Source organism: Homo sapiens, chromosome 18, assembly GCF_000001405.40.
Source record: "Homo sapiens chromosome 18, GRCh38.p14 Primary Assembly".
NCBI classification, from domain to species: Eukaryota; Metazoa; Chordata; class Mammalia; order Primates; family Hominidae; genus Homo; species Homo sapiens.
Window position 1 is genome coordinate 3,842,254 of NC_000018.10, and position 24,086 is coordinate 3,866,339.

The window sequence follows — 24,086 nt, forward strand, 5'->3', positions numbered from 1 at the left end:
GGACAGAGGGAGTGTTAGGAAATGAGATTGTGAAGGAAAAAGGTCCCCAGCTACATCATACTCTCTAAGTCATGTTTAAAAGTTTGGACTTTATCCCAAGGGTAAAGAGGAACCAGTGAAGGATTTTTAAGCAGAAGATTTAATGATTTTATCTGTATTTTAGAAAGATCATTTGGGCTATAATGTGCAGGATGAACTGGATTTAGGAGAAACTAGAGGCAGGAAGACCACTAGGAGATATTTACAATAGTCTAGCTGAGAAATGATGGAGGTTTAACTGGGATCGTGGCAAAAGGAATGGCGAGAAGTGGACAGAAATAAGATTTGGTGTTTTTTTTTTTTTCCACTCATTCATTCATTCAACTAACTTTTATGAGTCTGCCTTAGAGGAGAGACACGAGGGTGAGATAGAGAGAGGTATCAAGATTGGCCCCATGTTTCAGCGTTAAAAAAAAGCATAGATAGTGGTGCCATTTACAGGGGTAGGAAACATGGGGTAGCAGGCTCTTGGGAAGATACTGAGTGCAGTTTTTGACATGATAGGTTTTTGTGTCATGCCTTTATTTTTGTAACCTCGATATCTTTGTGTACCCCAACCTGTGAGAATAGATGAGGTCATATTAACAGTAATAACCAAGTCCAGTGATACTTTAGTTCTCTCTCATCTTTGTTCCTCGCCCAGTTAATTCTGATTGTCCACAAGGATGAGCTTCACGTGTATTTGGGAACAAATCTGTTTGCTGCCTTCTGTCAGGCCTTTTTGCAATGGTGCCAAGAACTTCTTATGACTGTGGGCCATCTGTACTGATGCTGCTGCCTCAGTCACCACTGTCCTCAGCTGGTACCTGCTCTGTGGCCTTTGATGTGTGTGTGTATATAGGGAAGGTGGGGGTGCTTCTTTCTCTAGATATTCTCTATTAATTAACTAACACAGAGCTAATATGTGAGTTTGTAAATAACACATGCCTTGCATTTGGCATTGCTAAAAATACCTTCAAGGGCTAACAACTTTGCATCTTATCTCCCAGCATGCATGGGTTGACCACTACAGACAAAAGATCATGAAGCTGATGCTGGCCAAAGAGCCTTGCACATTTTCACCCTCAAGTTGGTTTTATGTAGCAATTGCGGATAAAAAGCTCTGCTGGTATAAAAATCTTCTTATTGTACAAATGGCAGGAAATAGAAGACAACATTGCGGTGGTTACAAAAATTTGTTTCCTAGTTTGTTTCTGCCAGCTTTAAATTGAACATAGATCAATCTATAGGTTCTGAATTAGTAATATTGGGGAGACATGAAATGAGAAAAATAGCAGAATTAAATAAGCATAACAGTGCACGGGGCAGCCCAGCATGCTCTGGAGCGATGAGGGGTGAGAGAGAAAGGAAGAAAAGAAGAAAACAAAATGAACACCTTTCAAATCCAAAACAATGCACCACGTTTGAGCCTCCAATATAGTTTTACAAAGACAGAATAGCCATGAAATCAAACATTTAAGTATAAATAGGTAACATATGTCTGTCTTATTGTTGTTAAAAATTAACTGTGATAGACTGAAATTCCATTCCACATTCCTACTTCTTGATGACTTAGTAAATTACAGGCATTTCAAGAGAAATGCCTAAAAATTTTAGGTGAACCATCGACGATATTTTGGGTGGAAGTAAGTTATATGTGGTAGCTAAATACTTGTGCTCAAGCTCTCAGCATCCTGTTTATACTTCTAGGAAAGACATATGAAATGTGAACAATTTCAAGGAATGAAATAAATGTTCTTCTTTATCTATAAAAGTCTGATTGTGGTGTTTAAAGGCTTCCATGAAACAAAAACACCTGTGCCCACAGCTCGTCTCCCGTGCATAAAAACAGAATACAAAGATGAGACAGTAGGAATAGGAGGAACATTTTCTATTTCTCCAATATTTCCCACATGCTTTGGCTGTTTTTGAATAGACCTTCTGAAATATCTTTTGAGGTCACCTACTTTGTGAACCTAAAGTCTCTGATTTTTCAGGTGACATGGCAGCAAGCCCGAATGTCTGAAAACATAAATCTTAGTTATAATTTCCATTTTTGTCATTTTGCTAGAAAAGAAAAATATGATAATTTCTTCCCCAGCTTGCTAAGCCTTTGCTAGTTTCAGGAATTTCTGCTACCATCTGATGAAAATCAAAATCCCCGTATTAAACACCAAAAAGCTATATCACAAAAAAGTGAAGCCATCCTAGTAAGTGCCTCATCACTTCTTGTTTTTGAGATAGAGTAACCAAGGTAGCAATAGAAGTCTCAGAGAGAGCTGATGGTTTCTAATTCCATAAACTTAGTGGACAAGTACATTTTCCACATGAACCAAAATCATTGCCGCCATGGTGAATCAAAAAAGTAATAACAAAAATTCACATTACCAGCACGCTGTTATTTTAAAAATCCAATTTTACAAAATAAAACTCACCTAAACTGAAGCTGTGGAATAATTTTAGCAATTGAAAATTACTACCTTCTCTAGAATAACATGTACTTAGAAATGAAATGATTCAGAAATCAACATGATGTACGTATTCTGCTTTTCTTTGCAGCTTAGAGCAAATTCAACATCAATTTACACTATATCATAGTAAATATATTCAACAATCAGTGCTTAAGTAATTTAGCCTGTCTTTGCTGCATCTAAATATTCTGCTGTTTAACTAAATTCACTCCATACTATAGATGATAAAAATATTAATATACACATTTCATTCTTATTAAAAAGCTGGATTTCTCCCTTAGCCCTGCAAGTACCATAAGCAACCAAATCAGAGGAAAAGGGTATGTTGGGGCTACTCTTTATAAAATTGTTCATCCCCAGTTCACAGACATCATGAAACATGAAATTAACTCCAGTATGTTAAAAGAAAGATGATAGATTAGCACAGAAATCAAGCACAAAGAAACGATTTATTTTCCTTTCCATAGCCCAGAATTGCTATTAGCTTACCTTATTAGCTGGAATGCCAAACAGAATGTCTTTATGGAAAATTAAGTTCATTATTCATCTCAGCTTTGATTTGGTATAGTGCAGCTGAGAGCATTTAGCTTCTCTCTATGATTTGCCGATTCTAAGTGGTTGAGTGAGGCAGTAAACACAGGACTTGGGGGTGGGGGGAGAGTGGTTGGTCATGGCTCACAACTCAAGATTTGCAACTTTACATTTTCATTCATATAAAGATACTTAATGAAATAAAACCCTATAGCTGAAGAATAACACTTAAGTGAATACTTAGTGCAGATTTTTCAGCCTGTGCAATTTTGCATAGCAGTTGTACTTACAGAGTCTGGCATGCTCACTGTCCCAGCAAAATCATATTGCTATCTTTCATTATCTCAGTAAATTCTGGGCTATTGATCACTTTGCAGCCCATATAGGGGGTAACGTATATTCTGTCAAATGGAAGTCCCCATCAGGGAACGATCCTTGCAGCTTGCTAAAAGAAGCATGCCTGATTGTCTGACTAGTGATGGAAAGACAGATGCCTTTTACAATGTTGAAGTGTGCACATGCACAAATTGGATAGAACATTCAGTCAGCTAACAAACAGAGAGATTTTAAGGAGTAAAATAACAATAGATTTCCATCCTTGAGATATCAAATTCTCTTTTAGAGAAAAATTAAGTAATACTTCTCAACAATTCATTCATTTTCTTCAAAAGAATTAAACGTGTTGTAGAAACCTCTTGGCAAACACTTTTCATTTTTTAAAAAATTGACTTCCATAGAGAAACATCCCAGAAAATCTTATTGAAAGTGTGGTGTGTGTGTGTGTGTGTGTGTGTGTGTGTGTGTGTGTCTCATTTCGGGATGGGGCAAAGGAACTGTTGCAGCGTCCTCTTCCAAGTATTTCACTTTATAAGTTTTAAGTGGGCAGCATTTACTAAAATCCAGCTTTACTGAGTGCAATCTGCAACCACATCAGCAAGATCACTTTTAGGTTATCAATAGACAAGGACAATACAATTTCAGTAGAGCAAAGACTTACACCTTTCCTTTCTTCGTCACCATACAAAACCAAACCCTAAAACTTTCCTCTACTGAATTAATAAAAGCACAGGTGCATTTAATAAGAAATGATAAGGAAAATTATAATTAAATGATTGGTTTGTTTCAAAGTGTTAAGTATAGTGTCACCATATGACCCAGCAATCACGCTTTTAGGCATATACCAGGAGAAATGAAAGCAAATGTCCACACAAACACTTGTACACAAATGTTCACAGCACCATTATTCACAATAGTCAAAAAGTGGAAACAACCCTTGTATCCACTAACTGATGAAAGGATTAAAAGTGTAGTATATCCATACAATAAAACATTATTTGGAATGAAAAGAAATGAAATATTGATACCTGCTATAACATGGATAAATCTTAAAAATAGTATGATAATTGAAAGAGGCCAGTCTCAAAAGATCACATATTACAATATTCTATTTATATGAAATGTCCAGAAAAGGCAGAATCTATAGGGACAGAAAAGTAGACTAGTGGTTGCCCTGGACCTGGGGTAGGGGGACCAGGAAGTGATTGCTAACAGGTACAGGATTCCTTATTGGAGTGAAGAAAATATTTTTATCTTAGATCTTGGTGATGGTTGCACAATTGTGAACACATTAAACCCATTAAATTGTCTACTTTAAATGGGTAAATAATATCACAATAAAATTTATTTTAACATGATGCATTACATTGATTTGTGAATGTTAAATTAACTTTACATCCCTAAGATAACATTTGCTTGCTCATGATATATGATCTTTTAAATATATTGATGTATTCAATTTGTTAAAGGGCTTGCATGTCTATTTTATAAGGAAGCTAGGTCAGTAAATTTCTTTTCTTGTAATATCTTTTTCTTGTTTTGGTATCAGGATAGCATTGGCCTAAGAAAATAAATCCTGTTTCTGAAAAAAAGAGATGTTATAAAATTATTAATTTGCCAAAAGAACGTTGTCATATGTTTATAATTATATGAATGAGTTTTATATAACACATTCTACACAAGGCAGATAGGGAGAGGTTGGGGAAGAGAAAGGATGACCCCAAATGTGGGATGCTCTTGAAGACTAGAAGGCTGCAGACGTATCTCAAGAACCACCTGTGCCGGTGTTTTATCATGGCTAATTTTCAGCAAGAAAACAAATCTCCAAATCTGCAAGAGTAAGAGCACCAGGAAAAAGAGGAGGACTAGGAAGAAGAGGAAGAAGAGAATAAAGATGAAGGGGAGGAATAAAAGAAGGAGGAAGAGGAAGACAGAGGAGAATAAGATGAGGGGGAGAGCTGTGTTTGATCAAGAGCATGAAAGGGCAGGCAATTCAGGGGAAGGTAGGATCACCAAACGTAATTATAGCAACATCCTACCAAATGATCCAGACGAGAATAAAGGAAGCCTAGAAAGAAACCAAAAGAATTGCACAATGAGGGTTTTGAAGTATTCCAATGAAAGAAACCTGTTTTAAACATGAGAGATGGGTTCACAATCAAGAAAGAACACAGGTAAGTGATAAGTGCCTACACAAAGTGCCCCAAAAGGGCTAAAGCCCAGAATGAAATGAGGTTTGTGAATTTTAAAAAGAGACAAGGGCCAGGCACGGTGTCTCACTTCTGTAATCCCAACATTTTGGGAAGCTGAGATGTTTGAGACCTCCCTGGGCAACAGAGTGGGACCCTGTCTCTACAGAAAATAAAAAAATTAACCAGGTAAAATTAGCATGCAAGTAGTCCCAGCTGATTAGGAAGCTGAGGTGGGAGGATCCTTTGAGCTCAGGTGTTTGAAGCTGCAGTGAGTCATGATCGTGCCATTGCACTCCAGCCTGGATGATGGAGCAAGGCCCCGTCTCAAAAAAAAAAAAAAAAAAAAAAAAAAAAAAAGCCAAGGACAGTAAACACAAAAAAGACTTTTTAAAAGAGATGGCTTAGAATGAATAGAATGAGGAAAATCCCAAGGCTTGTTCCAGATGGTACAATGTGAACAGATGATAATGAAAGAGGAGGAAGAGGAGGAGGAGCAGTAGGGAGGAGGGAGGAGAAGGACAAATATCAAACTCTCACACTTTTATTTTTCTACTATTTTCTCTATCAGAGGACATGATCTTCAAATTTTAAAAGGGAGAAGACGCATGGTAAAGAGAAATTTGAACTCCAGCAAAACCTCTTCTATGCAGATGACTCATGCATTTATATTTTTGTTCCAGAACTCCCATGTGAGAGTCAGGTACCTGCCAACTTCACTTAGATACTTCAAAGTGCTGCATACATAGCACCTTCAAAACCAAACTCTCCCGCCCCCATCTCCACCCCAGCAGTAAAAGTACTGGGCTCCTGTAGAGTTCTGTACTTCAGTGAATGGAACAACTGTCTTCTACGCAGGTCAGAAACCTGGGTACTCTTTTTGGACACTTCCCTCTCCTGCCATATCACCAAGAGATATTGATTTGGAATCTCCGGAAACCACCCACTTACCCCAATATCACTGTCACCATCCTAGTCCCAGTAACCATTTTCTTGCACCTGGATATTACATTTGTCTTCTAACCGATTCTCCTCTTCCACTGTCCTTCTCCTTCCACTCCATCCAAAAGGATGTTTTCAGAGGGCAAAGTAGATATTAGCTTTCTTTGCTCCTCCCCCCAACACTAGCAAGGATATAAAGATTCAAATGTTAAACGTGACCTCTGGGGCCCTGTGACATGGTCCTGCATCTTTCCAGACTTATCTAGCACTATCTTGGTGATCCAGCCGTGCTGGATTCATTTCTCACCCTTTTGTTTCTTTCTGCCTTTGCAAACGCTCTTCCCTCTACTGGAGGCATGATTCCCTTGGCTCATTGTCTGATTAAGTCTAGATTTTCTTCAGACCTCATCCCAGTCTTACTTCATAGGGCATGCTTTGCTGAACATCTCAAGTCAATATGCGATTATCTAATCTCTTCTGTAGGTATTGAGCCAAGTGATCATTTGGGATCAACTTTACTTATGAGCAGAAGGCTCAAAAGGTGCATGGGTCACTACACTCTTAGTATCTTCAAAGAGACTCACCTAAGGTTGAGTCTCTTTGTTAAATTCACTGTGGAGAGAACTGACTCTCTGCTAGCCACCCTTCTAATAGGATGAGTATGAGGGGTGCATTGCATGGAGGGAGGCAGGAAATAAACACTTTGAGATCAAGGACACTACAGAAGATCTCAGGTACTAGATGCATAGGGGAGTGCTAAGAAATACCAATTCCGCATGCCCTAGACTCCATAGGGCCCTAGTCCAGTGGAAAGTTGAATTCTGCTATCATTTCTCCCAATGAAGAAAGGGACAGCCCTGATTGCAGACATTTCACTGCCAGAGAACCAGGGCAGAGCTCCCAGAATAGTTCAACAGCAGCCCTTACCATGGTAGTAAACTGACATTCATTTGTGTGATTGATTTGAGAATGTTTATCTCACCACTGAACAATGGGAGCGCAAGAGCAGCAATCATATATGTTTCTGATCATCTTGTTATCCTTTGCCTCTACTCGGGGCCTAGTGATAGTAGGCATTTAATAAATATTTTTGAATGAATGAATGACAGAGCTCTTAAATTGCTAGGCTGTGCTGAGAGGGTAATGACAGCATTAACTGCGATTAGCAAAACACTTGAAACCAAGTGTTTTATATAGAGTGTTAGTACTAGTGGTCTTGTTTATAAATCTGACCTTTCTATATCTTTCTCTGGCCAATAACACTGTGATGCCATTAAGGCATGAAGATTCAATATTAGTCAAACACATACATTCTGCTTAGAAAATTAGCATGTGGGATGTTGAGGCCAGGTGCAGTGGCTCACGTCTGTAATCCCAGCACTTTGGGAGGCTGAGGTGGGCGGATCACTTCAAGTCAGGAGTTCAAGAGCAGCCTGGCCAACGTGGTGAAACTAACAAGACAAAAATTAAAATACAAAAATCTCTACTAAAAATACAAAAATTAGCCAGGCATTGTGGTGGCTGCTTGTAATCCCAGCTACTCGGGAGGCTGAGGCAGGAGAATCACTTGAACCTAGTGAGGCAGAGGTTGCAGTGAGCTGAGATTGTGTCACTGCACTCTAGTCTGGGTGACAGAGCAAGACTCCATCTCAAAAAAAAAATTAGCATGTGGGATGTCGATTTAAAATATTATAAGATCCATTAGATGAATGATTTAATTTTCCCAATGAAGACATTTTTCTTTTTAAAAAGAGGACACACCTAAAAATATTAAGCTCGAATTTTTGTGCTTGACAAATTATAACACAAAGAACTTTTGGTAGGGCCCCCAAAATCAACCTGGGCATTCTTAAAGATTGTTAAAAGAAACGGTGGTGGCAAAACACTGAAGATAGACAAGACTTTTGAAGCTTTAAAGAAATATGTTCTGTATATAGTAGCATGATAGGCTTGACTTTATACCTCAGCATCATCCTAGAACAGGCTGTTAAATGGAAGGTCCGTGAGTGCTTAAAGAAGCAACCCACATTTACAAAGAAGTAGTATGCTAAGCTGACTGTGCTTTATTTTTATTTTTTATTTTTGAAGATTAACTTGGTTGATAGGTAAACACACACACTGAGATTTCTTATAAAAAATCATCTTTATAGAAAAAAAACAGGAGAAAAAGATTTCTAAATGGTAACAGGACTGGTTTTCACAGGAGCTGAATTTTCTCACTTCTCCTGGAATCTATTCCAAACAACAAAACAACAATACAACAAAATGAAAAGAAACACCCACAAATTACATTTTCAGCAAAACCAGCAGAAAATCCACAGACTCCAAAGTCAGAGTCAGGCAGAAAGCCAAGGAGAAAAGTCTTAATACTGTGGTAGGTAAGTGGGAGGTATGAAGGGGTTCTAGATATAGCAGAACTCAGAAATCTCTGTTGAATATCCACTCCCCAAAAGTAAGGGCCTTAATCCAAGAGGAAAGTGCTGCAGAAAAGACTGAAATTTACGCAGCAGGTGGAGGGTAAATGGCAAATCTCATTAGGGCCAGGAAAATTCTAAAAGTGTTACTGAAAGTGACGGCATCATTTGTGTTCCCATGTGACAGGCAGCCTGTGAAGTGATCCATGAAGTAATTGAGGAAGAACAGAACTAGGTTTGGTTCTGAGTCAGATGATGTGTGACTATATAGATGGATCATATTATGAAGAAACAATTGTAGCAGCAGCAAAGGAAGCCTTTGATGCTTGGAAAACTACTGCCCATCATTCCCTCTACAGGAACATTCTTTTGATTTCCTAGGAAAATTCAACTCATTCAAATAGGAGTAATATACAAGTAATACACATACAGATATGATAAGAAATATGGCCTATGACATGAATTTACCTATATAACAAACCTGCACAATATCCTGAACCTAAAATAAAAGTTTAAAAGTAAAAAAATAAAAGAAACATGAAGAAGACCAGTCAGGAATTTCTTGTAAATAATGAAAACTCAACTGAAATATATGTTGTCACAAAAAAGATTAAAAGCATAACCCAACATTGTTATTAATTAAACCAATAATTAATGAAGCAGTTATAGCTATAAAAGAAGATCACAAAGCAGAGTTGTAAGAACTCAGGGAAGAAATGAGAAGAAAACAGGAGGTTACTGGTACACTGCTGGAGGATGTCAAATGGGAACTGGCGGAATTGAAGGAAAGGAAGGTAAAGGAAGGGACATAAAAGATAAAAAGTGAAAATGCAAGTAAATTATACAGAGGCAAAAAAGATAAAGAAGGATTAGAGAGAAAAGGACATGTATCGAATATGGCAAAGGAGAGCCATCATATGCATAGCTGTGATCTCAGAAGAAGAAAGCCAAAACAATGGAATAGAATAATTACTTTAAAATATAATTCAATAAAACTTTTCTAAAATAAAAAAGCCTTAAATCTACTTATGAAAAAGATATCCATTGTATCAGTGCAAAGTCGTCTAGAATGATCAACCCAAAGACACATCCCAGAAAAATTTTTGAAAAGAATCCTTAAGGCAGTCAAGGAAAAAGATAAAAATCAGTTAAGGAAGAGAAAATGAAGTTGACATCAGATTTATCCACAGAAATATCTAACCTCAGCAAAGAGTGGAGCAGGATCCATAAGATACCAAGTTAGAAGGCAGGAGTCAAAGATTTTCTCTCTAATAACGCTCCCCTTCAGTATCAAGACTCAAGGAAAAAGGCAGCTTTGAGCCTGCCAGGATTTGGGTAACACTGTTTCCTCATGTTTTCTAGGGGAAGATCCTAAAGGAGGTGCTATAGACTAACATGAATCAACAGAGAAATGTCGGCAAAAGAACCTGTGGCCAGTGTTTAAATGATCCAACATGACAGGAAGTTCCTGTTGGCTACATATATATACCCTTTAAGAATTTTTTTCTATTCCCAATTTGTTATAATAATTTTTTTGTTAGATCATTAATGGCTGTTGAATATTTGGAAATACCTTTTCTGCATATATTGAGACAATCCTATGTGCTTTTTATCCTTTAATCTTTAAGCACTGAGAGTTATGTGAATATCTTTTCCAAAGTTAACCTTTCTTTTTGTTAATAAATAATTGTCATCTGGCCATGTTATTTTACATTATTTTTAATTATTTAATTGTATTTTTAAGTTTATTAAGAATTTTTATGTCAGATTCATGAAAGAAATTGCATTTAAATTTTTCTTTCTTAAATGGCCCTTGTCTGGTTTAAGTCTATATTAAATCCTGAAACTAGTTGGGCATTTATTTTTTGTTGTTGTTGTTGTTCTAATTTCTAGAAGAATTTTTATACGACAGGGATTACCTCTTCTTGCAGGTTTTATAAAAATTAATAGGGTCTGGTCTTTTTCTGAGTAAATTTTAAACTAAAATTTTAAATTTTAATATGTCAGTTTCTTAAGTTGTTATGGATATATTCAAGGTTTCTGTTTTTACTGAGTTTTGAATGCTTTATTTTTCCAGGAAACTGAACACTTACATTTTCAAGGTACAGGTTGAGTATTCCTTATCTGAAATGCTTGGAACCAGAAAGGTTTTGAATTTCAGATTTTTTCGGATTTTAGAACACGGTCATGGGCCAAACGACATTTTGGTCAATAATGATTGGATGTAAGACAGTAGCCCCATAAGATTATAATACCATATTTGTATCTTTTCTATGTTTAGGCACACAAATACTTATCATTGTGTTATAATTGCCTACAGTATTCAGCACAGTAACAGGCGGTAAGATTCTGTGATCTAGGAGCAATAGGCTATATCATAGCTGAGGGGTGTAGGAGGCTCTACTATCTAGGATGTGTCAGTAAACTCTATGATGTTCACACAACAACCAAGTTACCTTACAGTGCGTTTCTCTGAAGGTATTCCCGTCATTAAGTGATGCCTGGTTGTGTTTCCATCTTACTGGTTCAGCAACCCCAATCCAAAAATCTGAAATTCAAAATGCTCCAATGAGCATTTCCTTTGAGTGTCATGTTGGCTCTCAAAATGTTTTGGATTTTGGAGCATTTAGGATTTGAGATTTTCAAATTAGGCACACTCAACCTGCACTCGTATGAAGTTTGTTTCTGTTTTTGCTCATATGATAGATTTAATATCTACTGCATATATATCCACGGCCCTTTTTTCATTTCTGTTAGTGTTTATATTGTGCTTTCTTTTTTTCCCTCCTTGGTGACTTTACTCAGAGGTTTATTAATATTATCAGTCTTTCCAAAGAACAACAACAACACAAACTTGCTAACAGTGATTATGTCTGGGGGATTTCTATTATCTTCTTTATGTTCTTAGGTATTTTACAAAATGTACCCAATAAATGCATATTAAGTTTATGAACCCCTCCCCCTAATAACACCTGTAACAAAGTAATATGCTTTTAAATAAAATTTTAAAATGTAGACTGGATAGGAGATTCATAACTGGTTGAATGACTTTTCCTAAATGGTATCTAAATAATTTCATGAAAAAGAACAGGACAGTCTCTAGCGAGAAGCAGAGTCTTTCTTTCTAGCCCTATTCTGAACTTTTAAAAATTGCCAACTTCAACAATGAGATATTGGATACAATTATGAGTATTAAAATATCATACATACATTGGTGGGGGAAATATTTAAAATATTGGATCTCAGATTTAGCATTCCCCAATTTTGTTATTGTTTTGAAAACATTCTTTTTGGTAATTCAAATGACACTTTTAGATGAGCGATTTAGAAACAAGTTGTTCTTTCCTCAAGATTCTACTGCCATTTTCTGGAAAATTATAGTAATAAACGAATAACTGTAAGATGACTACTAACGTAAGTGGAGCTCCCTAGAGTTAGGTAGTGCACAAGCTGCACATCAGTAACCAGTGGCCCTTGCCTAGAATACACTCATATCTATATAATAATATTTAATACAGATACATGTAATTGTAATACTCTACATTGTGTTAAACCACCTGAGTGTGCAGTACAGTGTGGGGAAACCTATCAGTATGATTTCGTGTGAAAAAATGGTCCTAGAAATTTTACCTGAGTGTGAGGCAGCCTGACATGATTACCAGACAAGCTGGTACTTTGATAGAAGTTCATGGCCAAAGAGTTCCACTGAATGCTGTGAAGTCTGGACCCAAATGAAATAATAATATTCACGCTATGACACCATAAGCTAAGAGGGATGCTTTTCTTGGGATGAGATACAATTTGTCAGATGAGATGCTCAAAGTCCTGTTCTTAAAGAATTGCTGAAGGCAATATTCACAATAGCAAAGTCATGGAATCAACCTAAATGCCCATGAACGACAGACTGGATAAAGAAAATGCAGTACATATACACCACGGAATACTACGCAGCCATAAAAAAGAATGAACTTATATCCTTTGCAGCAACATGGATGGAACTAGAGGCCATTATTCTAAGTGAACTAACACAGGAACAGAAAGCCAAATACTGCATATTCTCACTTAAGCCAAACATTAAGTACATATGGACACAAACAAGGGAACAACAGACTCTGGGGCCTACTTGAGGGTGGAGGGAGGGAGGAAGGTGAAGATCAAAAAGCTGCCTATCGGGTGTTACGCTTATTACCTGAGTGACAAAATAATCTGTACACCAAATCCCCTTGGCAGGCAATTTGCCTATGTAATAAACCTGCACATGTACCCCTTACCTAAAATAAAAGTAAAAAAAAAGCTGAAGGAATTAGTTCTATCGATGGTGGAAAAATGAAGACTTAAGTGGCAAATAATGGTTTGCATTAAACATTTGAAGGAATGCCATGTGGAGGAGTAATTAGGTATATTTCCTGTTGTTTTACAATCAACAAAAGGGAGGTAGATTTTAAAAAATTAATTAATTAATTAATTTATTTATTTTGAGACGGAGTCTCACTCTGTCATCCAGGCTGGAGTGTAATGGCATGGTCTCGGCTCACTGCAACCTCCACCTCCCCGGTACAAGCAATTCTCCCACCTCAGCCTGCCAAGTAGCTGGGACTACAGACGCGTGCCACCACACCAGGCTAATTTTTGTATTTTTAGTAGAGACGGGGTTCACTATGTTGGCCAGGCTGGTCTGGAACTCCTGACCTCGTGATCCGCCTGCCTCGGCCTCTCAAAGTGCTGGGATTACAGGCGTGAGCCACCACGCCTGGCCAAAAAATTTATTCTTATTTTATGGCTCCAAGACAAATTCAAAGAGAAGTGGATTTGGATTCACAATACAGAAGAATCGTCTACAAAGCATGTCAAGAATGGAAAGTGCCATTGGGGTGGGAATCCAGGCCACTTTTCTAGAGATCACTGGTAATATGTGCAAGGAGTCAATCTATGTGTAATATTTAGTGTTTTGCATGACTGTTGGCCTGGCTCATCTACTTCCAGGAATTTTTCCTGAATAAACAACTAGATGATTATTGAAGAGTTTGTAACAGTAAGGGATTTGAATAGGTTACTAAGTAAATACAAAGAAAAGAAAAAGAAATGTGAAAGAAACATTAACGAGAGCAAAGAGAGCTGGGAAAGAGAATGAACTCAACGGAACAGAAACTACAATTATAAGCACTGGGGTAAAAAAGAGTGTGAGACATTATTAGAAAATGGCCAGTCAAAATAAGGTTGAATGCAAGACACTGAGGCAATGGCCCAATTTTTTTGTTAATTAGATGAGAGAATTGTGATTGCTAAAATTAAACTTAGATTGAGGAACTCTGGTGAAGTGAGGTCAACAGAAATAGCTAATAGGTGGGAAATTACCTTAGTCACTTGAAACAGAAGAAACCTATTACTAATGGGTATTAAATTATTTATAATATAAAGAAATACAGGCCAGACGCGGTGGCTCATGCCTGTAATCCCAGCACTTTGGGAGGCCGAAGCGGGCAGATCACGAGGTCAGGAGATCGAGACCATCCTGGCTAACACAGTGAAACCCCGTCTCTACTAAAAATACAAAAAATTAGCCGGGTGTGGTGGCAGGCAGCTGTAGTCCCAGCTACTCGGGAGGCTGAGGCAGGATAATGGCGTGAACCTGGGAGGCAGATCTTGCAGTGAGCCGAGATTCCGCCACCGCACTCCAGCCTGGGCGACAGAGCAAGACTCCGTCCCCCTCCAAAAAAAAAAAGAAACACAGCTGATTATTTAGTGTCATGCTACATCCATAGAGGACTTCAGTATATAGTATGAAGAAAGTGCTTGCTCTATGTATTAAATTATTTATAATATAAAGAAATACAGCTGATTATTTAGTATAATGCTACATCCATAGAGGACTTCAGTATGTAGTATGAAGAAGATGCTTGCTCTGTAAGTGTGCACTCTAGGCTAGATATTGACCCAGACATTTGTGATGTCTCCATCTGAAAATAACAAAAAGAGCCGAAAACCTCTGTAGATTATTATTTAAAATTAGAATATTTAAATTATTTTAAGATGCTAAGAATTACTTGCATTACTTTCTTCAAATTGAAGGATGTGCATAATATTTGGGAATTCTAACCAGGAAAAGAGTTTTAGCCTTTCATTGAAAATGACATTTATGGTATTATTCAAAATGGTAAAAAGCTGTTTAAAAATTCAAATGACAATGAATAGAAATAGAAATGAATATTCTAGCCATGGTGTATTTACATACTATAATAACAATACATATTTTCATTAAATGATAGAGTATTATTGAAAATAATAAACATTTATCAAAATGACACAAAATGATTTTTACCCTACCAGTTTAAGGAAACTCTTGGCATGTGCAGTAGTTACTTCCCAATTGCCAAGTTCACGATCAAGCTTTCCATTCCTTGTCTGACTGGACCACTCCTTGGTAGTTGACTTTGTTAAACTTTCCCTGTTTCTTGAAATCCTCTTCGTCTCCCTTTACTCCCACACTTTTCTGGCCTATTTTTATGACCTTTCTTAGTGCTTTTCCTATGATTCCTGCTGTGTAGCCCAGGAAGTTGGCTTGTGATGTCTCATCTTCTGACTTTACACATGCCCCAGTGTGACCTCATTCACTCTCAAACTCCTCTCAGCCTCCTATGTGATAACTCCCCAGTGCCTTTCTCCAGTTCTGATGTCTTCCAGAACTGCACAATCATAAATCCAGCTGCCTTCATTCCTCCCTCTTCCTCATCCACCCCACTCAATTCTTGACCAACTTGATACTCTCAAGATACAGTAGAAAGGTGTGTTTACTTCTCTCCATCTTTATTGCTTCAATCCTATTCCAAACACAATCATTTCTTATCTGGTTTACTATAATAACTTCCCAAATAGTATCTGAATAAATGAACATTTGCCTACGGGATATCTTCAACTGAATAGGCTTCAGGCATATAAGATTCAGCAGGCCGAGAACAAAACCAACTTCTCCATCTAAATGTATTCTTTCTCCTACATTAATTATCTCAGTTGGAAGTATTGACAGGCACCCAATTTTTCAAACTATAAATTTTTCATCATTTTTACTTTTCTCTTTCCAGACACCTCAGTAGTTCAATCACTAAGTCCAGGTGATTCTATACTTAAAACATGTTTTTTCCTATTTAAAAAACTTTAACCATCAGTTCCCCTCTCCTCCCAGGTTGGTGAGAGCTCTTTGAGGGCAAGAGTCATGTCCTTTCAACTTTGTATTCCCAGCCTTTAACAGAGCCCTTAATCTGAAATATACTTAGTGCTCACAAGTGTCTGAATTAAAAATTATATCATATACAACAAAAGGGAAACATATATATATATACGTGTATATATACATATATATACACGTATATATATATGCACACACACACACACACATATATATATATAAAACACCTGATTGCAAATGTGCAAGATGTATGCATTTACATGTATAGATACTGGAAGGGGATTTCAAATGACATGAATAATTGGTGTTTTACTATAAAGTTAAGAGACTGATAAAAATTTCAAATAAGAAGCAGCAAATATGTTACTCATAGGCAAAGGGGAATCTAGATCTAATAAACTAAAAAATTGTCTGGCATGAGATTCTTCTGCTCTAAAAAGCTTACTAAATGAGCTTTCACATGATAAACATTAGAGGGCATACCATCTCACAAGAAAGGAACACTCCTTTTAGATGACACTAAGAGTTAACACTTTAAATGTAAGAAGAAAAGTGGTGGATGAAGCTATTGAATGCTTATGTTTCAAGAAGAGTGAACAATAGAACTTTCATGCTTCAGAGCTTTTTCCATACATGAGGTTATAAGTATATTTTAAGTGAGATGTTAGAGCAGGTGACAATTTTTAACAGGGACTAAAAAATTAATTGCAACTCAAAAATTAACAATATTTAAGAGTGAATGACTGTATACTGCAGAGTATGTAAGTAAGTACACCATCTACAAGTGCTCTGATTTCAAATAGTGATTTGAATGGACATGCTGCCTAACTATTTTAGAAGAGTATTCTTTTAAAATAATCTAAAAAACACAGAAATGGATGGTATTTTCATTTCATCACCATATACGTGAAATATCCAGGGACCAGTGCATATATACAATGATCTCATTTAGCTGATAGGCAATAGATATATAATTTCACACATCTTTCACACCAAGTTTAAAAAAATGGTATTAAGTTTAAGAAATAGCTTATGTTTTAGATAGTAGATTCTGTAGTAGGCAGATTACGGACTCCCCAAAGACGCCCATGTCTTAATCCATGGAACCTGTGAATGTTACCTTATATAGCAGAAGGGACTTCACAGATGTGAGTAATTTACTGGTCTTGAGATGGGGAGATTGTCGTGCATTATCAAGTGGGCCCAATATAATCACAAATAAGTAGAAGGAAAGTCAGAGCGAGAGTTGTGGCCACAGACACAGATCAGGGTGATGCAATTGCTGGCTTTGGAGATGAAGGAAGAGGCCAGGAGTCAAGGAATGTAGGTGGCTTCTAGAAGCTTGAAAAGGCAAGAAAAGGGTGTCTTCTCTAGAAACCTCCAGAAGGAACATAGCCCTACTGATGTTTTGATTGTAGCTCATTGAGACCCATTGTGGACTTGTAACCTGCAGAACTGTACGATAATAAATTTGCGTTGTGGGCCAGGCACGGTGGCTCACGCCTGTAATCCCAGCACTTTGGGAGGCCGAGGTGGGCAGATCATGAGGTCAGGAGATCGAGACCATCCTGGCTAACATGGTGAAACCCGTCTCTACTAAAAATGCAAAAAATTAGCCAGGCGTGGTGGTGGGCATCTGTAGTCCCAGCTACTCGGGAGGCTGAGGCAGGAGAATGGCGTGAACCTGGGAGGTGGAGCTTGCAGTGAGCCGAGATTGCGCCACTGCACTCCAGCCTGGGCGACAGAGCGAGACTCTGTCTCAAAAAATAAATAAATAAATAAATTTGCATTGTATTAAGGCACTAAATTGGGGGCATTTTGTTATTGCAGCCATAGGAAGTTAATACAGATGCTGAAGGGTTTCATGTGCTCAAAACCCTGATAAGTGAAACTGTAATCTCTAACAGTAACTTTTGCAATGTCTCTTAAATCTGCTCTCTTGCTTCAGTTCACACTGCTAACACTGTGTTTTTTCAGGCATAATAATAATAGGATTTATTGAGGCATCATATAATGTCCCATTTCCAAGCATTGGTCTGCACCTTCCACATGTATTAACACAATTAATTCTTTTGACAACCCTGTATGATAGGTATTTTTATTATCTCCACATTACAGAGGAGGAGACCATGGCAGATAGACATGAAATATCTCACTCAATGTTGTATAACTGCTAAAACACAGGATTTGAACACAGCTTTCTGGTAGCAAAGCTATATTTACTCTTCCCAGAATGAACTTCATGGCCCTTGAACTGCATGGCTGTCAATGAAGGTGAACGCCTCACTAATTTACCATCTATGTTGACTGTTGAATTATTGTGGCAGACAGAATTTTGGCTCCCATGATCTCCACCTCCTGGTGTCATGCCCTTGAATTTGTGACGTTTCATGGAAAAAGGGACTTTGCAGATGGAATTAAGTGATTTTCAGGTACTTGTCAGGCATGGGGGATATAGGGCTGAACTATTGAGAGATTAACAAATAATGAGAAAATGCTAAGAGAAATCTCTCCCGTTATACTCCCATAGAAATACTTTCAAGGCTTCAGAGATATGATATTTCAAATGAGGAAACGTCCTTATCCTCCATCCTTCCTTACTTACAATCCAGGTTTAAATTCTTTCTGTAAACTTCCCTATTCTTTGTTCAGATACCTTTATGCTTCTCCCTTTGCCCATGTATTTAGTTATTTAATGTTCCACTGGACTATAAACTTTTTCAGAGTAGGAACTGTTTTAGAAGTCTTTGAATTCCCATTTCCTATCAACTTCGACGCTTATATAGAGAAGATCTTCATTGTTTGTTACTTGAATCGATTATTCAGGAAAAACTCCTTTACAAAAAATCCTATGACAGGGATTACATTGTTATAGGAGCTCCAAATTCCAATAGAGGATCTGTTCACTTCAGCTAATATTCATCCACAATAATAATTCTTTAAAAACTTTATATTCCTCAAATTATTCTACAGGCTTTCCTAATAAACTGTCATCATAAGGAAGAAGGAAAGCCATCAATTTTATGCTTTTAAGGAAAAAGCATATAATTTTTTAAATGTCATAATTTAAACTTGTTAGTGACCCCTTATTTCTTCTGGGCACATGATAAAGGCTAAGAACTTTTCTTCTAAGCAAGATGAACATCTCACCCACTCCCCTGACTTTTATATAATTTCAGGAGTTTGCTGATTGTGTAGAGTCCAATCTTGCACATCCTACAGGGCACACAGCCTCAGATAGAGAACACCTGAATTAGGTGGATGAGATGCCCTGCCCTTCTGCGCTTGACTTTCTGCCCAGTGCCCCCACCCTGCCCTCTACCCCATCCAAAGGTCTTTTTGAGATAGGATTATTTCAGAAGTCAGTCAAATGTGCAATCTCAGCAGTTCTGCTTCTGTGCTGCCCCAGCCTGACTAGTGACAACCCTGCTGATGTTCCAATCCTAAACATTATCTTCCTCTGACAGTCCACATTAGGGAATCCTGCCTCAATAAGCTTTTCCAATGGGCCTGCCACCAATGGCATTGTTCTGATTTGTTGGGCTGAAGTGATCTCTCTCTTTCCAGGCCTCAAAGATGGCGAAAGAGTGCCTGGTTTCAGAGAGCAATACGAAAAATGCAGCTTTGGAAGTCTGGTGAGTAAACAAATGAAGCCAGACGTTGACACTTGTACATCAATCATGTTCATTTTTCAATGTGCATTGGAAAGGTTTGAGACTCACTTGTCTCAGCAAACAGGGTTCAATTAAACCAGTACCCTGGATAGGCCATAATGGACACTCCAAGGGCCTTTCTGGAAAGCCCTTTCCCTTTGGCCAAAGGCATAAGCAATGTGGGGTAGACAGGAGTCTTTTGGGTAACACGTAAACTGAACCTGTCAGAGGATGAGGGGCCCTGTCTGAACGGCACCAGCCAAGGGACTGGCTGTAGCAGATATGATGATGCATTGCCAACTGCCATATCCATCTGCACCCAGATATTGCTCCTAGAGGTGTCAAAACATTGTAATTTACAAGTAAATGTGAGGAGAAGAAAAGTTTTGCAGACATGTTTCTTAAATGAGGAAGAGAATCACAGATGAGGATTACTGTCCAAAAGAGAGCTTCAGCAACTACCGCCCAAAACTCAGCGTGAGAATGGAGATATCACGTAAGGTGCTGCCTACTTGGCTGATGGTGAGGGAGGTACAAAACGCAGAGGAGCCGACAGGCACGTGGAGGGGACAGCGCCAGGTGGGTGGGAAGATCCAGGGAGATAATGCACATGACGTGCCCAGCACAATGGCCAGCAGGTCATGAGTGACTAATAAAAGGTGGCTAAGAATCCCACCAAAACCCCAGGCCCATGTTAGTCCTCATGTTTCTAAGGGGAAGTGAGTTGTACTTATTGAAAGCTAGGTATGTTACATAATTGACTCCTCAAAACAACTCTACGAGGTAAGTATTTTTGCAAATGAAGAAAAAGAAGTTTTAATGGTGGAATGATTTATTTAATGCCACACTGTGAGGGCATGGAGGACAGGCATTCAAGCAGGGCGGCCCTCGCCCTCACTGGGCCTCCCTGCCCCGCTTTGGGCACACAGAAAACTACCAGGCAATTTGGACACCTCTAATCACTGGGACATCACCACAGGGTATTACCTTTTTATGGCAAAGCCCCAATCTACTAGAAGTCAAGAGAGTAAAAAACAATTAGAGCAATGCTGTCCAATACAACTTTCTGTGATGACGGAAATGTTGATTGAGGGATTAATAAACAACAGGAAACATGGTTACTGACCACTAGAAACGTAGCTACGGTGACTGAGAAACTGGATTTTTATTTTTTTCAAACTTTAATTCATTGAAATTTACAGATCCACATGTGGCTAGTGGCTACCACGTGGGACAGCAGAGAACTAGACTACCTGATTTAAAAGGAACCCTAGGGCTCATTTGCCCTCATTTCACCAAATAGGGAAATGTCCTTTGCTTTATGCCTCATGTGTTCATCCAGTTTCTCATAGCACATTTTTAATAACAAGAAACTCTTCCTTTTACTTGGGATCTGATGCCTTTGTTAGAAAAATCATCCCAATCTAATAGCTACATCCTCAGGTGTTATAATCTGGAGATAAAGTTAAGTTTTGGTAATAAACCCGTTCATTATTCCCTGGGGTTATCTCCTAACTAGCTAGCTCTGCTCTTCTCACACCTGGAAGCATTTAGGTCTCTGAGGGTGGCCCCAGAGGCATCTAAATTCTCTGGGTGCACAGTGTTGCTACTGCTATCCACAGCGTCCATGCCATTCCATCTTGCTGACTGGTACTGATGCTGAGTGCATGGATGCGATGTGAATCTGAGGGTATTTTCCTCACAACAGTGCAGTGCTGCTTGCTAGGTTTCTTCCCCAGGGCCCGCTCAGCCCCACCACCTCTGCAGCCAGCTGCCTGGTGGCTGGGCTCGGGAGCCTGCAACCTCCCAGGCCCCTCTAGGAAGCAGCTCCCTGCTCTTTTCCTATCCTCATACCATTGGTTCCCCTGAGAAATGCTGCCCAGAGGTTAAATTCCTTTGGCCTGGCCTCCAGGCTAGACCATATCTTCCATCTTTGGGCAACTTGGGTACCTTAGAAAATAAAATCCTGTATTATCTTGTCAACTAGGAATAAATTCTGTTCTCCACTTGCTTATTTCTACCAGCTGAGTGGTCAGCTACCCATCTGGTCTTTTCCCTCCTGCTTTTATCTGGCCACTGCCCCCAGAGTTCAGTCTGGGTCAAACAAGTGCTAAAGAAATCTTGGTTGAATAAAAGACTCAGGGAGAATGACAGTATTATAAAATCATTTAACAGAATTTTTCATTATATGCTTGTGGACAGAAAATGTGAGGGGAATACATGTTACAACAGGTAGAATCAAGATGGGTTGAAGCGAAGAAATGCAACGCTTAGTTCTATTCATCTATTCATCTAATAACACCTTCAAAAACATACAAGAGATCAAATTGGCATGGTTTAATTTTAGGGAATTATTTCACTTCTCAGTTCCTTAGAAGTCCCTGTTAAGTGAATAATTAATATTTCATTCTTATGCATGGTGATATGTTATAAAACATTGAACCAAAAGGAAGTGGAGGCTTTTAAACATGCCATATTAGGACTAACCCTTATTTTAAATTAACTTCATCTGGGCTTAAACAAAGAGGGGAGAGAATTAAGCAAGAGTTTGCTATAGAACACTGAACTATCTGCAGTGTGATACATGTACATGAGGAAATACCCAAAACCAGCTAAGAAGAAGGATTATGAAGACTACATTGACTTTGACTTCTAAGTTCATCACTGAGAATGGCACCTTTATTCTGATAGACTTCCGAAGTCTTACTATTCTGCATTGTTGTCTGTTATAAGGATTTAATATAAACTCTACTGATATTCTCTAACAGCACCGTTTATGCACTGGATACCTGCAGCCACCTCTAAGGTGGCACATGTAACTGTTCCACCTTGGATAGTATATGACTCACTAATTCAATTTTACTTTGATGGGTAATTACGCAACATTCTAAGGGTAGATCTTTAGAGAAACATATCTTTTCCTTCAAACCTGGACTAGTAATTTAACAAATAGTAAAATGGGTAAATCTCCCAAACACTTAGTTAACACTCTGGGATATATGAGGCTCATGTACCAAGCAGAATTCTGGTTCACAGTAGGCTGAGAGATAACCATCTGGTCTCCCAAAAAGTAAGGACAGACAAAATATAAAATCACACTGACTTATCTCTGTAAGTCTGGATTTTGGGTTTGGGTTTAATTTAATTGGGTTTGAAGACTCCTAGTTTACTTCCTAATCATTTCAGAAGCAGACATTCCAAAATTAAATTAAGCAAAGAATATTAAATGGGCAGACAGTGCATATTTGTCCGTAAGAACCTTACAGTGTTATTAACAATGTTATAACTACAATTAGGCTGGCAGTCTCATGGGGTCAGTAGTATTGTTTCTTGTTGAAACAGACAAGCAAATAAACACAAGGAGCCTTGAGTAAAGGTTCTTTCATAGGTTGAGATATACATTTCCACTGACATGAAATAATGTCCTATTACAACCTTTTTATATATCTCACTTTGCAAATCAACCTCATATATTACTTGTTTTCAAACATGACTACTTTCCAAACTAGATTTAGTTTTACACCTAATCATAGAAGTAGAACCTGTTTTTTAAACCATAATTATTCATTTTTAATTGTTATTAAAAGAAATTCTCATTTAAAAATCCTTCAAGAGAAGACCAAAGGAAATATTTGCAAAGCAGAGGCATCATGTTATGGTGGAAAGCAAACAGATTGTGGAATCAGACAGGCCAGAGTTTAAATCTCAGTTTTGTCACTTACTAGGAGAATAATCTTGAGCAAATTTAATACCCTCCTTTTCATATAAAACAGGGGTCAGAACGGCTACCCCAGAAACTTCCAGAAATAAAGACAATGTAAGAAGAACAATGTATGGTAAACACAAGTCCATAGAACCTTCTTAGTAAGTTAAAGTTCTTCTTACTCTCCTTCTTGTTCCCTTTACCCCATCTTCATCTTATTCTTAGTCATGGTCACATAAAAGTGGATCCAGCATGGGATGGAGATGAAAAGATGTTCAGTATGGTGCTGTGGAAAGAGCACTAGCCTGGGAGTCAAGGGGCCTGTGTGTTCCTAAAAAAGTCAATTCCTCTTTTTTTGGGTCACAGCTGGAGAAAAGGTATGAAGGTAACATAAGAATTTGTCTATCAGAGCTTAAAGCCCAAAAGTGATTTTGTAGTCTGAGTCAATCAGGAACTCCTGGAGTCCCAGGATCAATTGCTGTCTTTTTAATGAAGGGCAGGGCACCAGGGCTGCAGTCTGGACTGCTGCTGCTGCTGCTAATACAACTTACCACACTGGGGACGGATAACTTTCCAAGCTCAGAATACAGATCCCAATTTTTTGGGGGGAACTTATCAGAGTTTTCCGATTGATCTCATTTATTAA

At 38.1% G+C, this 24,086-nt stretch overlaps 1 protein-coding gene across 36 annotated transcripts in view; it reads right to left on the minus strand.

Annotated features, from left to right (window-relative positions):
• The window catches only part of DLGAP1 (DLG associated protein 1), a 959,276-nt gene that overhangs the window by 346,222 nt on the left and 588,968 nt on the right, over window positions 1–24,086 (minus strand). For 5 of the 36 annotated variants that reach the window (NM_001003809.3, NM_001242766.2, NM_001242765.2 and 2 more), the window contains exon 1: window positions 2,979–3,105. The exons of the other annotated variants lie outside the window; for them this stretch is intronic. In NM_001003809.3, coding sequence (NP_001003809.1) covers window positions 2,979–3,029 — 51 coding nt within the window. In that variant the 5' untranslated portion in view covers window positions 3,030–3,105. Of the gene's footprint in view, window positions 1–2,978; window positions 3,106–24,086 lie in introns of those variants that run through there. 36 annotated transcript variants of the gene reach the window in all.